The sequence below is a fragment of the Homo sapiens genome, chromosome 11 (genome assembly GCF_000001405.40).
Source record: "Homo sapiens chromosome 11, GRCh38.p14 Primary Assembly".
NCBI lineage: Eukaryota > Metazoa > Chordata > Mammalia > Primates > Hominidae > Homo > Homo sapiens.
In genome coordinates this window covers 4,761,715-4,778,087 of record NC_000011.10, presented here as the reverse complement: position 1 = coordinate 4,778,087, position 16,373 = coordinate 4,761,715, and the positions used below count along the sequence as shown (strand labels likewise).

The following is a 16,373-nucleotide window of genomic DNA, read 5'->3' as shown; positions in this document are numbered from 1 at the left end:
CACTGCCATATACACTGTGGGAGTATATATGGCTATACACGATTTCTGTGGAAAACTTTTTGGCCATATCTACTAAAGCCAAACAAAAACCTACTCAGTCATCCAACAATTCCACTCTCAGGTATATAACCATTGAAAAGGTATGCATATGTTATGCATGTTTTGTAATGCCAAGCACAGTAATATTCATAGCAGAATTATTCACAATAGAAAATGGGAGAAACAACAACATCCATCAACAACAGGATGGAAAAGTTAATTAAGGTGAGGTATAGTCATACGCTGGAACATTACAAGGCAATAAAAAGCAAAGAACTATAACTATACACACTCTGTGGAAGAATTTCTCAGACACAATGTTAATATAAATACAGCACTGATCCAATCAGATAACATCCAAAAACAGGCAAAACTAACCTATTTGGATAGAAGTGAGGAGAGTGATCACCTTTGAGGAGAAAGGAATAATGGTTGAAATATCTTAAAAAGTGGTTTCTTCTGTTAGTAATTTTTCATTTCTTTATCTGGATGGTGGTAACATGGATGTATTCAAATGTGAAAATTCAACCAGTTTGCTTGTAATCTGCATACTGTGATGTATGTATACTTCAATAAAAGAATTACTTACAAATATTTAAGGATAAATTCCTTATTTTACCTTCTATGCCTATGGCTTTCAGAAATGACCTAGGTATACAACTGTCTACTTGGGAAAATATTTTAAAATCTTCAGACAAATCTGTGTTTGAATTTTACCTCTGATACTCATTATCTATATAAAGTTTAACAGGGTCCTTAACCTTTATGATTCTTAACTTCTAGACATATGAAGTTAAAACATCATTTTTACTTACAGTAGCTAGAGGGGACCAAATCTCATGGCACATAGGTGCTCAGTAAATGAGGTTACTATGCCTAATCTTCATTTCATGTCTGAGGAAACTGAGATTCAGGGAGGTTAATCAAATTTTGCAAAGAATTACAAGTAGCTATTGGAAAAATCAGGATGAAGAGAACCTAGAATTCTGTCCTAGTACCCTTGTATTTTAAGAATTTTCAATCTTTATATCACAAGTCCCATTGTCCAAGGGTAATTCAACTGGTGTGTGGTAAGCATAGTATACATATTTTTTAAGTTTAACTCCTCAACATCACTAATTGTATTAGGCTGTTTTCACACTGCTATAAAGAACCACCTGAGACTAGGTAATTTATAAAGAAAAGAGATTTAGTGAACTCACAGTTCCACAGGATTAACAGGAAATATGACTGGGAAGACTCGGGAAACTTACATTCATGGTAGAAGGCAAAGAGGAAACAAGCATGTCTTACCACGGTGGAGCAGGAGAGAAAGATAGCAAAGGGGGAAATGCCACACACTTTCAAACAACCAGATATCATGAGAATTCACTTATTATCATGAGAACACAACAGGAAATCTGCCCCCATGATTCAATCACCTCCCACCAGGCCCCTCCCTTGACACTTTGGAGATTACAATTTGAAATGAGATTTAGGTAGGGGGCACAGAGCCAAACCATATCACTAATCATCAGAGAAGTACAAATTAAAGCCACAATGAGATATAATCTTGAACCAGTCAGAAATGCTATTATTAAAAAGTCAAAAAATAACACATGTTGGGGAGGATTCAGAGAAAAGAAAATGCTTATACAGTCTTGGTGGGAATACAAGTACAATCTCTATGGAAAACGGTATGAAGGTTTCTTAAAGAACTAAACATAGAACTGTTATTTGATCCAGTAATCTCACTACTGGGCATCTACTCAAAGGAGAAGAAATTAGTATATAAAAAAGATACCATCACTCACATGTTTATCACAACACTATTCACAATTACAAAGATATGAATCAACCTGGGTGTCCATCAAAGAATGACTAGATTAAGAAAATGTGGCATATGTGCACAATGGAATACTACTTGGTCACAAAAAAGAACAAAACTCTGTGTTTTGAAGCAAAATGGATGAAACTGGAGGCCATGATCTTAAGAGAAGCAACTCAGAAATAAAGTCAAGTACTGGGTGTTCTCAGTTATAAATGAGAGCTAAACAATGTTTACACATGGACGTGGACTGTGGAATGATAGACACTGGAGACTTGGAAGGGTAGGGGAGTGAAATGAGCATGAATAATAATAAATTACTTAATAGGTATAATGTACATTATTCACATAATGGTTACATTCAAAACCCAGACTTCACCACTATACAATATATGCATGTAACAAAACCATACTTGTACCCCTTAAATTTATACAGAATAAAGGCCTGGCTCCTTCTCTCTCTCTCTCTTTCTCTCTCTCTCTCTCTCTCTCTCACTCACTTCCTCTCTTTCCTTGTACTCTCTGCACTCGCTTGACTACCCTTCACTTTCAGCCATGAGTGGAAGCAACATGAGGCCCTCACCAGAAGCTGAGCTGATGCTGACACCATGATTTCTGTACAGCCTGCAGAACCATGAGCCAAATAAACCTCTGTTTCTTTACAAATTACCCAGCCTCAGGTATTCTTTTACAGGAACACAAAACAGGCTAAAACATAGATCATCAGCTGGGTTGCAGTTACATATGATATATCATTGAGCAGTCAAATCAATGTGCAGAAGTCACAAGCATTCTGATACATCAACAACTGGCAAGAAGAGAGCCAAATAATGAATGAACTCCCATTCACAATTGCTACAAATAGAATAAAATATCTAGGAATACAATTAACAAGGGAAGTGAAAGACCTCTTCAAGGAGAACTACAAACCACGGCTCAAGGAAACCAGAGAGGACACAAACAAATGGAAAAATATTCCATGTTCATGGATAGGAAGAATCAATATCATGAAAATGGCCACACTATCCAAAGTAATTTATAGATTCAATGCTATTCCCAATAAATTACCACTGACATTCTTCACAGAATTAGAAAAACTATTTTAAAATTAATATGGAACCAGAAAAGAGCCTGTATAGCCAAGACAATCCTAAGCAAAAAGAACAAAGCTGGAGGTATCACACTATAGGACTTCAAACTTTACTATAAGGCTGCAATAACCAAAACAGCATGGTACTGGTACAAAAACAGACACATAGACCAATGGATCAGAATAGAGAACTCAGAAATAAGATCACATATCTACAACCATGTGATCTTCAACAATCCTGACAAAAATAAGCAATGGGAAAAGGAACCCCTATTTAATAAATGGTGCTGGGAGAACTAGCTATCCATTTGCAAAAAATTGAAACTGGACCCCTTCCTCACATCTTACACAAAAATTAACTCATGATGGATTAAAGACTTAAATGTAAAACCCAAAACTATAAAAACCCTAGAAGAAAATCTAGGCAATACCATTCAGGACATAGGCACAGGAAAAGATTTCATGATGAAATTGCCAAAAGCAATTGCAACAAAGGAAAAATTGACAAACAGGATCTAATTAAACTAAAGAGCTTCTGCACAGCAAAAGAAACTATCATCAGAGTGAACAGGCAACCTACAGAGTGGGAGAAAAAATTTTGCCATCTATTCATCCAACAAAGGCCTAATATCCAGAATCTACAAGGAACTCAAACAAATTCACAAGACAAAAACAAGCAACCCCATTAAAAAGTGGGCAAAGGGCATAAACAGACACTTCTCAAAAGAAGACATTCATGCAGCCAACAAACATATGAAAAACAGCTCAATATCACTGATCACTAGAGAAATGCAAATCAAAGCCACAAGGAGATACCATCTCACACCAGTCAGAATGGCCATTATTAAAAAGTCAAGAAACAGAAGCTGGTGAGGTCGTGGAGAAATAGGAATGCTTTTACATTGTTGGTCAGAATGTAAATTAGTTCAACCATTTTGGAAGATGGTGTGGCGATTCCTCAACCAGAAATACCATTTGACCCAGCAATCCCATTACTGGGTATATACTCAAAGGAATAGAAATTATTCTGTTACAAAGAAACATGTACATGTATGTTCATTGCAGCATTGTTCGCAATAGTAAGGACATGGAGTTAACCCAAATGCCCACTAATGATAGACTGGATAAAGAAAATGTGGTACATATAAACCATGGAGTACTATGCAGTTATAAAAAGGAATGAGATCATGTTCTTTTCAGGGACATGGATGAGGCTGGAAGACATTATCCTCAGCAAACTCATGCAGGAACAGAAAACCAAACACTTCATGTTCTCACTTATAAGTGGGAGCTGAACAATGAGATCACATGGACACAGAAAGGAGAACAACACACACTGGGGCCCGTCAGGGGGTGAGGTGGGGGCAAAGGGAGAGTATTAGGAAAAATAGCTAATGCATTCTGGGCTTAATACCTAGGTGATGGGTGGATAGTCGCAGCAAACCACCATGGCACATGTTTACCTGTGTAACAAACCTGCACATCCTGCACATGTACTCCAGAACTAAAAATAAAAATAAAAATTCAAAACCAATTAGCAAAAAAAAAAAAAAAAACCCCACAAACACTACACCTCTGAATTCCTGTAAGTCAGGAGTCTGAATACAGCTTTGCTGAGTTTTCTCCAAAGGCTGTGTCTCATTTGAAGCCTTATTGTGGAAGGCTATCCTTCCAAGCTTATGAAGTGTTGCTAGATTCTATTAGTTCCTTGTGGCCTGTTGAGTTGAGGGACTCAGTTTCTTGCTACATGTTGGCTAGGAGGCCATGTTCAGTTCTTGGCTGGTTGTTAGCTGGAGTCCACTCTTAGTCTTTTGCCACATAGGTTTGCCAAACATGGAACCTTGATTCACCAAAGACAGATCTTATATGACATATATGTGATGATATCCTGTCAACTTTGCCATATTCTATTGGTTAGAAGTTAGTCAGAGGTCCTACCCACACTCAACAGCAGAGGATAAACATGGGCTGAGTCCAAGAAGGTAGGAGTACTGAGGGACTATTTTATTATTTTACAATCTGACCGTCACAGATATTTGGGTGAAAACTCTAGATAGTTAGCTCTTTAAGACAACAGAGGCGAAACTTTTAATTATTTATTTCTGACTTATAAAATGATTTGATTATAGTTCATTTTTGTCGTGGAAGTATTAGTCAAAACAGTTGATGGGAATGCCGGGTAGAGATATAGTGCTTCAATTGAACCCATCACACTTTCAGCCATTAAAATTACTTGAACAGGAATGCACAGGAGTAATAGCAGAGTAGAAATCAAAGAAAAATAGCTGAGTGAGGAACAAATTACTGGTATTATTGATACCTAAACAAAAACAAGACTGTCTCCACAAATGTGCAGCTTCTCTATAAAGGAGAAACAAAAGGCTTGAATGTGAGACTTTTCTTATGAACCTAGAATTAGTAGACTGTAAAGTGTCTGCATCCATTAGTCAACTGCCTACACTGACAAAAATGAAAAAACTCTCTCAATAATCAGGTGCTTGAAAGTATTAATGCAAGAAAACAGCAGGGAACAGAGTAAGAATACATGCACATGAGAACATCATTCATTCATGGTAACCCTAGCTACTAGCAAAACAGGGCCAAATTAATATATCAGGAGCTGACACATTTACTGGGGGAAAACTCAGTGTTTGAAAAAGAATGGATTTGAGAATGGACATCTATCATTCTCCCTATGGTTCAATGTGGAAATGTAGGCATAGGAGCCTAGAGACTGGGTGTAAAGTTTTCCCTCTTTATTGTGACCATAATGATCCCAGTGAACAGTGGTTTCTTTTCCTATCTTGCCAGTACACTTATAATCCAGAGACAATGATGTACATCTCTCTATTCCCCAATGCTATGAACAGTGTGTAAATTTTCTATTTATATGCATAATTTGGTTTATTTTCCTCTGCATTTAATGTCCCTGTGGACCACAGGTTACTTGGATTAGTAACTAAAACCCTCTGGGATTACACACTCCTGCCCTCTAATTTTTATAGATAGGGAGAGAGGGTGGTTTCTTTTTTGCTCTGTCTTTGGCTGCAGAGAGACATAAATCATACAAATAATCTCACAGCTCAATTCTACCTTACTATAAAGTCCATGGCTCCAGAACTGTAGTCTATCCTTCCTCATCTAGCAAAGACAGAGAAGGTTCCTCTTTCCACGTAAAGCTGGTAAGAAGGGAGATAGATATATTTATCGTGTTGACTTTTACTTTGTTACCTATTCACAAATAGTCATATGGGTTTATAGAAAAGTCAGATATCATGAGGGTTTGCCCTGTCCTCATCGATCCACATAACATGTAGATATACAACCTCTAATAATTCATACTTAAATATTTTCATAATGTTTCTCAGATTGAATTGAAAATCAGACAACTGGAGATTTAAAATAAACCACAGAATACTAGCATAAAGGGAACAGTAACTTGTATCCTTGCTACAGAATATTTACTCTCATGAATTTGACACATCTAATTTTTTAAAGACTTGATTGAAAAATACTAACATTATACTCATGAATACTGCTATTATTTAATTTAATTCTCCCCAGAATTGATTTGAACAATATAAATATATTAATTGACAAAATTATTCTTGGAATTTTACTTGAAAGAGGCGATATAGCATTTCTGTTTACTGAGCCAATTGCCCTTCTCATTCGCTGTCTCCTGAAAACGTCTACTGTATCCGGAAGCCAGCAGCCATCACTTTACACTTTTGAACAGCAGTAAATTACCCCCAAATACTTCACAGAGAAAAAGGTAACAATTTCCTTATATAACTCTCCACAAACTTACATATTTGACACTTACTAGTGTCAGTGCAAATGATGGTCCTCATTTTTTTGAAGGTTACTCATGCTCTACACTTAATCACCCACTACTTTCTTAAGGACTTTTATAGATCAATAAATCCTTCACATTCTATATTTTAAATTTCTCATTATCTGCTACATTTTTAACCTCCGTTTATAAACATATCAATTTCTCGAATTCTGTCCCATCTTGCAAAAATTCTCCATCTACCTGATACCCCTTCTTTAGACATGGCCTACTTCTCCCCTTGCCTTCACTGCCAAGTTTCTTAAAATAAACCGTACCTCCACTGCTAATACTTTCATCATTACCACACTGTAGCAGGTTCTCAATTTTCCACTGTTTTTTCTGGGATCGCTAATGGCTCTCAGCTGCATTTGAATTTTTTAATCCTTACTAGGCTTCACAGCGCAAGCAATTCGACACAGCTGCTCATGTAACATCCGGTCTTCACACCATGTTTTTTTTTTTTCTTCTTTTTTAGACGGAGTCTCTCACTGTCACCAGGCTGGAGTGCGGTGGTGCAATCTTGGCTCACTGCAACCTCTGCCTCCTGGGTTCAAGCGATTCTCCTGCCTCAGCCTCCCAAGTAGCTGGGACTACAGATACACGCCACCATGCCCAGCTAATTTTTGTATTTTTAGTAGAGACGGGGTTTCACCATGTTGGCCAGGATGATCTTGATCTCTTGACCTCGTGATCCGCCCACCTCTGCCTCCAAAGTGCTGGGATTACAGGCATGAGCCACCTGCCCAGCCTCTTTTGGTTTTCATAGTCCCCATAAAACCAGTCTCATCTTGCTTTAGTGTATATAGTGCATTCCAGTCTTCTGGAGAGTTCTGTCCTCATTGTTTTTCTCTTATAATTCTAGTCTCTGAAGTTGTTTACCTATAGTGTTGGATGAAAATGATAAATATACATTGATAACTTTATATTCCTGGCAAATATCTGGAGATCTGTGTCTGCAGACTCATACCCTTATGGTCACTGAAGAACCATGGATATTTTTAAGTGGCTATTATTCATTGTACTCACAAAATATTCAAAATTGAGGATACTTATTTTTTCTCAGCTAAGTCTTTATTCAAATAATCTTACAATATGATGCATCTTAATATATTCTGTAAATGGACACTATCATGAAAATGTATAAAATCATATGGACATATTTCCCTTGAATTTTATGGTACAAAAACATATTTTTGTGAACTATTTCTGATTATGAGTGGTAGATGAACATTATAATTTAATTTAAAGGTTTCTCAATGATGCAGATCTTATCTATGACCTTGGATAACTCTACTAACTAAAAGAAAATGTATCTAAATATTTTACATAACACTTAATGTATCACTTCTATAGGATGGAAGCATTGTGAGGACAAATGCTGCAAAACCAGGACACCATGGAAATCCTAAGCAACTCAACATCTAAATTTCCAACCTTCTTGTTGACCGGCATTCCTGGCCTAGAGTCTGCCCATGTCTGGATCTCCATTCCTTTCTGTTGTTTTTATGCCATTGCCCTCTCTGGGAACAGCGTGATCCTGTTTGTCATCATTACCCAGCAGAGTCTCCATGAACCCATGTATTATTTCCTCTTCAGGCTATCAGCCACTGATCTGGGCTTGACTGTTTCTTCATTGTCAACAACATTAGGTATCCTCTGGTTTGAGGCACGTGAAATCAGTCTATATAGCTGCATTGTCCAGATGTTTTTTCTTCATGGATTCACTTTTATGGAATCTGGAGTGCTGGTGGCTACAGCCTTTGACCGTTATGTGGCCATCTGTGACCCTCTGAGGTACACTACCATTCTCACTAATTCCAGAATCATTCAAATGGGTCTTCTGATGATTACACGTGCTATAGTACTAATATTGCCACTACTTTTGCTCCTTAAGCCTCTCTATTTCTGTAGAATGAATGCCCTTTCTCACTCCTATTGTTACCATCCAGATGTGATTCAATTAGCATGTTCAGACATTCGGGCAAATAGCATCTGTGGATTAATTGATCTCATCCTGACCACTGGAATAGATACACCATGCATTGTCCTGTCATATATCTTAATTATTCACTCTGTCCTCAGAATTGCCTCCCCTGAAGAATGGCACAAGGTCTTCAGCACCTGTGTCTCCCATGTGGGAGCAGTTGCTTTCTTCTACATCCACATGCTGAGCCTGTCCTTGGTGTATCGCTATGGTCGGTCAGCCCCCAGAGTAGTCCATTCAGTGATGGCTAATGTATACCTGCTTTTACCCCCTGTGCTCAACCCCATCATCGACAGTGTAAAAACAAAACAAATCCGCAAGGCTATGCTCAGTCTGCTGCTTACAAAATGAACAGACATAGTTTTATTTGATACAAACCTGGCATGAATGACTTGCACTGTAGAAAAGCGAACTTGCTCTCTTACTGCCTATTGCATGTGGGTTTTTAAAATATTTTTCATTCACCAAACAAATAGTAAATATGTTGTATATTTGGTCATAAAATATAAGTATGATATATCACCCAAGACATTTGTAGTGGAATTAGGAAAATAACAATAATGAAATGATAAATAATACTCCTGGCAATTAACATGTATTGACTCTTTGTTTCAGGCTAGGTGTTCTACTAACTGCTTTTAAGACATATTCCATTTATTCTTCCAAAACAGCGAAATGAAATATATATTACTATTAGCGATATATTACAGATGATGGAACAGATTTATAGACATTTAGGCCCCCAAAGGCCATGTGAATAACATGAGGCACAGTTGAGATTTGAACCCAGGTGTTCTGTATCTCAAATGCTATGCTCTTCATCACTGTATTACATACTCTGCCAAAGTCATGTAGCAGAAATGTTTTAAGATCAAAAGTAAGACCTGGATCTCCATGGTTCCATCCTTTGTCTTAAAAAGTTGTAGTAACCTTCTTAGAATATACTCTAGCTGTTTTCTTCATGGATAATTCATAATACAAAAGGTAGGAATAGATATGTCATGGCATGTGAGTCACTATCCAGTGTTGGACAGTCCAAAGAAAAGCTTTAGGGGTGAGGCACACTTGCTAATTTATCACAGGGAATGGGAACTTGAGAGAACTAGAAAAGAATGTAAAGTAAATTACAAGGAAGTTTGGGGCAGATGTTCTGAACCTTTTTCTGCATTGTGGTCCCTTAGAAAGCTAATGAAATTTATGGACCTTTCCCCATAGATAAACATACTCACATTATTTTCCATAGTTTTCACAGTTTTCACAAATGCCATTAAAGACCTATGTGACTCCTTAACCAGCTAAAGAACCAAGGTAAAGAATTCATAGTTCTTGCCTATACACAGTTTTACAGAGACAGACACAAAATGTTTGGTTTCTGAAAACGAACTTATGGTAACTCTTTGGATTTAAGAGACAGACAGAAGCTTAAAAATGTCAATTGCATATAATGGCAGAATAAAATCAGAGGGAAATGGAGATGGAAACCTAAAGGCAGTCACATCAATTTTATTGCCATTGGAAAAATAGTGATAGGTGGAAGAAATGTACCAGGTACCCCACAAATACTGAGGGCAGCAGTGTGCTGGAGAGAGCACACACCAGCTTGCAAGAGCCTATTTTTGCATATCTAACTATGCATTATATGATGTCATATTAGTAGCTTGAAATCACTGATAATGATAATTTTTATACCATGTGAACTGGTAAAAATTCTTTTAAATATTTATATAATAGCATTGTTCAATTTAATTTAATAGCATTGAGAACTTTTTCTGTTTTTAAATATTCAGTTTATCAGCACACAGTGACTGTAGGTATATTTTATGTTTGACCTCGTGGGAAACAACAAAAAATAAAAGATCAATAAAAAATATTACTGTGCACTCACGAAGGTTAAAATCTTGTGTGTGTAAAACATCAACATGAACAAAAAGTCATGAAATAATGGACTTATTGGGGTGATAATTCATAATATAAAAGTAAAATTTTACCCTTTATGTTGACTTCTGAGTTGAAAGAGTATCCAAAAGTGCATGCTGGATAGGACGATTTTGTAAGAAACTCTGTGGAAAAATGGAAGAAATATTATATGACAATTTTACTATTCATGGAAGAATTATCTTCTGAGTTTTAAGGTCTGTCTGTACATAGGCATGAAAATTATGAAACACAAACCCTTTTTTCTTCTATTTTCTCTCTTCTTCAGCTTTCCCCAGGTGAACATAGATTATAAAATTTGTGTTAGTAGCTTTAAAAACACCTTTTGATAAAACAATGCCATTATGTAAATGAATTTGTTTATCGATTTAGTTTACAAATTTGGCTACACTTTCTGACTTTTATATGTGAGAGTCTTTTTCTTGAGTAATTCTACATGCCTGCTAGCTGCTGGAACATCAGAAAGATAGATGTGGTAAAATAATGTAATATATACTAACATTATCACAATAAGCACTCATCGCAATATTCCGAACCGATAGCACAGCCACCAGCAGAAAATTTTTAAATTGTCAGAGTCACTGCAAAAAATGAATGTCATAGAGAAAGAGAGAGAGAAACCGTGGGAGGAAAGAAAAAAGGGAGAGAGAAAAAGGATGAAAAAAGGAAGGAAGGAAGGGAGGGAGGGAGGGAGGGAGGGAAAGGAAAGTGGGAGAGAAATTAAGGATGTAACTTAAATAAGTTTCCAAACAGCCCATTTGTTACACCAAGCAAGGATACCCATTTACTGATGTGAGTTAATTAAATCACTTTTTATTGTAGCAACAGAAAATCTATAGCCAGAAAGAATGAACTTATTTAAGACTATTTCTATCTAATTGTTAGAGTCAAAGAACTCCTCAAATACTGTACTCAACCCAAGCAGGTCTGTGATGTTACATCTGTATCCGGGGAAAAATGTAGTACCATGAAACACCGAGTAGAAGCACCTGGGTGAGTGACCCATGAAGACACTGATTATGCAAAAGTCCTTATAATCCTTGGGCTTGCAGAGGTGGCCCACACTTCTCTGGTAAGAACAATCATTTCCACCACTTCGCATAATTCTATCTCCTGGAGCTCTCTCCATCTCTTGTTCTCACCACCAGAATGAACACTGGCATTAAATTCCAGCATAAATCTGTTGGGAATGTGCTGGGCCTAGTAAGATAAGAAAGAGACTATAACCCGAAGAATAGCAAAAATTAGCAAGCATTTTATGGCAAAAATCCATGAAATGCCCTCTGGATTGAATAGTGAGAATGGTTGATCAAGGAGGTCTGAATAGAAGACTATATTAGCAAGAATGCATCAATGTAGGGACATTTATTTGGAATACGAATTTTAACACCTTAACAAGAACACCAAGGAATGTAGCTAATTTACTACTGAGTGACAATTAGCTAGAAAAAGTGTTGGACAACATTCAGCATATTGGAAAAATGATTGTGCTGCCCTAGTAGATGGAAAAGGAAAGAATTTAGAGGCTGATGAAAGTATGCATGCTGGAATAGACTGTGTAAAGATGGAAGACTCACCATACATTTTCCATAAAAGTGCACAGAGGACACATCGTTCAGAAGCCACTGGAAATTAGCTGTGAAAATGATACCAGCATCTCTAAGAAGCTGAGTGGTAGCTCTTTTCCACTAATCACAGAGGCCAGCAGTAGCTGCAGTCAGCAAGCCAGGCTACCCACGCATATGAGGAGGCCTTGACATAATAGAAGCCAGGTTGCAGTAGGTAACCACCAAAAGCCAGAGCTACGATTATCACAGGAACCAACAAGATCTGAAGGGTAGACAAGAGGGCTTAACAAGCAAGTTGGTGTGCACATGGATAATAGAGCATAAACTCCCTGTTTCCAAACAGACAAGCAGCCAACAAGGGGCTAGGTAACATTTACTACAAAAAGAAGGCAAGAATAGAGGAGCAGGACCTGTCAGTCTTTGATGTAGGCTTGACCTTGAGTTAAAGAGAGAAGGAAGGAAGGAAGTTTGGGTAGAAAGAAGCATCCTAGAATGTGGTGCAGTTCTGAACAGATTTAGTCAATGTCATTGGATATCCTCTAATCAAAACACCTGTCAGCAGAGTTCTATACCTTCTAGAAATGGACCTTCCTCAGTTTCTCTGCCATGGTCAGTGATTGCCTAGAAACAGCTCCTGGGCAATGTGGCTTACATAGAATATGACGATGAACTAGGGCTGTTAGTGCCCATGCTCCGACATATGAAGAGAATATTTTAATAACCATCACATTTGTTGAATTAAGAGGAAAATAGGGAAGGAGTTACAAGGAGAAGCCAAGCAACCAAATCTTGAGACAAAGAGAAGCCAGAGCAGCTGTGGGTTGCTCAACAGATGTTTGAATGTCCTCATGTGTCTCCCTTGAAGTTTCAAATACTCAGGAAATGGAGTTTCAGCATAAAGGATATATGAAAATGTTAGTATTCTTTGTGTGTGTGTGTGTGTGTGTCTGTGATGGAGTCTCGCTCTGTCACCCAGGCTGGGGTGCAGTGGCGCTGCGCGATCTCAGCTCACTGCAAGCTCCACCTCCCGGGTTCACGCCATTCTCCTGCCTCAGCCTCCCGAGTAGCTGGGACTACAGGCGCCCGCCACCGCGCCCAGCTAATTTTTTGTATTTTTAGTAGAGACGGGGTTTCACCGTGTTAGTAGCCAAGATGGTCTGGATCTCCTGACCTCGTGATCCACCCGCCTCGGCCTCCCAAAGTGCTGGGATTACAGGCGTGAACCACTGCGCCCTGCCCAGTATTCTTTGTACAGATTTTTTGTAGCTCAGAAATTATTTTGAAATATAATGTTAAAAATCATCCTAAGAGAGTATCTCTTTAGCCCTGCTTGGGTCGCATACCTAACTGTCTAGTATTAACCAATCAAGTCATGTGCACAGGCCCAGTATATTGGGCCCATCTCTATTCTGGGGACACTTATCAGAAAAAGGGAAATATTTTTTGCCAAAGAACTAGCCAATACCACTCATATACCTCTCTTTATCCAACAAAGTGCACTAAGAACATTTAATTAATGACATGTTTTAAAGCAATGGTCATTATCCTGGGGATTAAACTGAATAAGCAAAAAAATATTGTCAACTTTAAAATTTCCCTTTTAGCAAAACTGCTTAAGGCAAAAGTACTAAGGATTACAAAATCATGATTAGATGAATAACAAAACAGTTACATAAAATTATGGAGTAAACAAATTTATTAACCTGCCACATCTTTCCTGCAGGTCAACAGAGACAGAATGAGACATTTTGAAGAAAAGATTAAAAAGTAATAAACATTAAAATCTTACTTTATTAGGCAGAGGCACAATAAAATATCCCTTCTGTGTAATTTACATGCTTTATAAAATTCTCCTGTTTATTGCATTATAAAATTACTTATTCTGACAACTTTAGGAATCCAATTTTTATTTTAGGAATCAAATTTAATACTAAATACTTTAATATTAATAACAAATAGTGCTACATACTATTAAACTTTAAGATAACTAATAATTATTAATCTGTGACAATTTAGGAGAATTTAAAAATGTGCAAAATCATCTACAAAAAATCTACAGCAGCTTGTCTGTGTTTCCTTACTCATTGCTGTTTTGTTAAACAGAAAAGAAACCCATTAGCCAAAACTAAGTTCCACATAATTATGCATTTATTTGTTCATTCTTTATAGTATTTATCAACACTATAACATATGAAAATAAATACAGCATGCTGTTGAAGGGCATGTACTCTCATGAAGTATTTCTAGCCATGTCATCCTGCCAAAATTATCCACATGCCCTTCAGTACCCCAAATTCAGCAAGTCCAAAACCAAATTAATTAGTTTCTTTTATTAGTAATCTGACTCTGTTTTGATGAGTGAAATTATTCCTGATCATGAAAGGTGTAAAGTAATTAAGGCAATATTCTTTCATTGAAGAAACCTGACTATGCCTTCCTCAGACTTCTGGCAACATGACTTTCTGTTTTAATTTCTATTTGATCAAAACTGAAAACTGAAAATTTCTCATCTCCCTTTATGATGCCACCCTTTGTTCAGCCAGCCAAGCCTGATTGGTCAGTGTCTCCTTTGGCCTTTATGTCTATTTTCACCATTCAAACTGGTAACGTTTAACATAAATACGGCTTCTTTGATGCAGACTTCATATCATTTCTCACTGCCTGCTTCACCATTCTGTGTCTTCAGAATCTCTCTCAAGGCACATTCTATCAAGTACTCTCCTTATTCTAACTTATTTTCAACATAGATGTAAGATTAATCTTATAATGGAATTATAATATTGTTTAATATAGGCTTAATTATTTTCTCTTGCTCCCAAATTGTAAATACATTTCACCTGCCAAGAAGATACTAAATCCCAATCCTGTGTACTTTTCTTTAAAATTTTCAGGGATTGTACCACCACTCTATTTTGCTGAAAAAGAAACTGATATCCATTGCTAGGTCTTTTCTTTGAGCTACAGTTATTAGTAGACCAGTTTTCAGGTTTCCTGGTTATATAACACACAATGTTCTTGGAACTTTACTCTCGGCAAAGAAAATACATGAACTATTTGCCTCCCATTCTAGTGAGTCTCCTTTTTCTCTGTTTTTCCACTTTTCTAAAAGTGTATAACAAAGCAACAAGTACAACGATTTTTATATAAGTTCTACTGAACAAACTTGCTAGATTAACCAGACATTTCACTTCCTCTGAAAATATACTACCTGATGATAGCTGCCAGTTGAATAATTACAGCTTATTTTCTAAATAGCACGTTCTCACTGGTCCCAATAAGTAATCTATAGGCTGTCAGTACTTTCATCTTGACTATCTTGATTATTATAACATAATTTGTATTAAAGACATGGTTCTTGCAAAGATGATATGGAATTTCAGTTTGCAAAACTGTATTAAGAGGCCCTAACTCTACATCAAAATATTGTGAATAAAGTACATCTATAAGTTGGAAACTTAAATAAAATGTTCAATGTATGTTAAAATTGTTTTTCTGACTCCTATATGTAATTAACCTTATTCAAAAGCAAACCTAAACATTAACTAAAACAAATTTGGATAAAATGACTTCTATTGTGTTTGTTCATATAATTCTCTTTTCTATACTATGAAATGGATCTTCAAGAGAGGTGAATAAATTAATTTAGTAATATTACTGACCACTGATTTTGTGTCAAGCATGGTATTCATCAGTACTTATCAAGTAAATATTGGTTTGCTTTAGCTTGAACAGCTAAGATTAAATAATATAATGTACCTGACTGGAAAACAATAAAACAATAATCACTGTACAGATAATCAATATAATCCTTGAGGAAAAGCCAGGTCTTTTTTTTTTCCTGGTAGTTGCTTCCACTTGAGTTCCCAACCTGCTAAAACTTCTTTCCTCTGTTCAACAGTCAGTTCCCATGGAGCCCTTGACTTGATCATTCTATATTGCAGCTTGCTTCCAAATTGTAGAAATCCATTTGTTTATTCTAACAGATATTTAAAATATATGTACTATGGAACTGGCATTATGCTATTACCTGGAGATACTTTCAAATCATCTGGCAACCAAATTACTTTACACAAAAATCTATATAACACATTATTTACAAGAAACATATAGCA

At 36.7% G+C, this 16,373-nt stretch overlaps 2 protein-coding genes across 3 annotated transcripts in view; one reads left to right on the top strand and one right to left on the bottom strand.

Annotated features, from left to right (window-relative positions):
- Positions 1–16,373, bottom strand: part of MMP26 (matrix metallopeptidase 26) — a 287,646-nt gene that overhangs the window by 214,342 nt on the left and 56,931 nt on the right. For both annotated transcript variants that reach the window (NM_021801.5, NM_001384608.1), the window contains exon 2: positions 10,747–10,818. The gene's annotated coding sequence lies outside the window, so the exon portion shown is untranslated. The remainder of the gene's footprint in view (positions 1–10,746; positions 10,819–16,373) is intronic.
- OR51F1 (olfactory receptor family 51 subfamily F member 1) lies at positions 8,150–9,109 on the top strand. Its single transcript, NM_001004752.2, has one exon. The coding sequence runs from the start codon at positions 8,150–8,152 to the stop codon at positions 9,107–9,109; it is 960 nt and encodes a 319-aa protein (NP_001004752.2).

What these genes read in the sequence shown, in the direction of transcription:
- OR51F1 (NM_001004752.2), top strand. Translation starts at nt 8,150, where the DNA reads ATGCTGCAAAACCAGGACACCATGGAAATCCTAAGCAACTCAACATCT.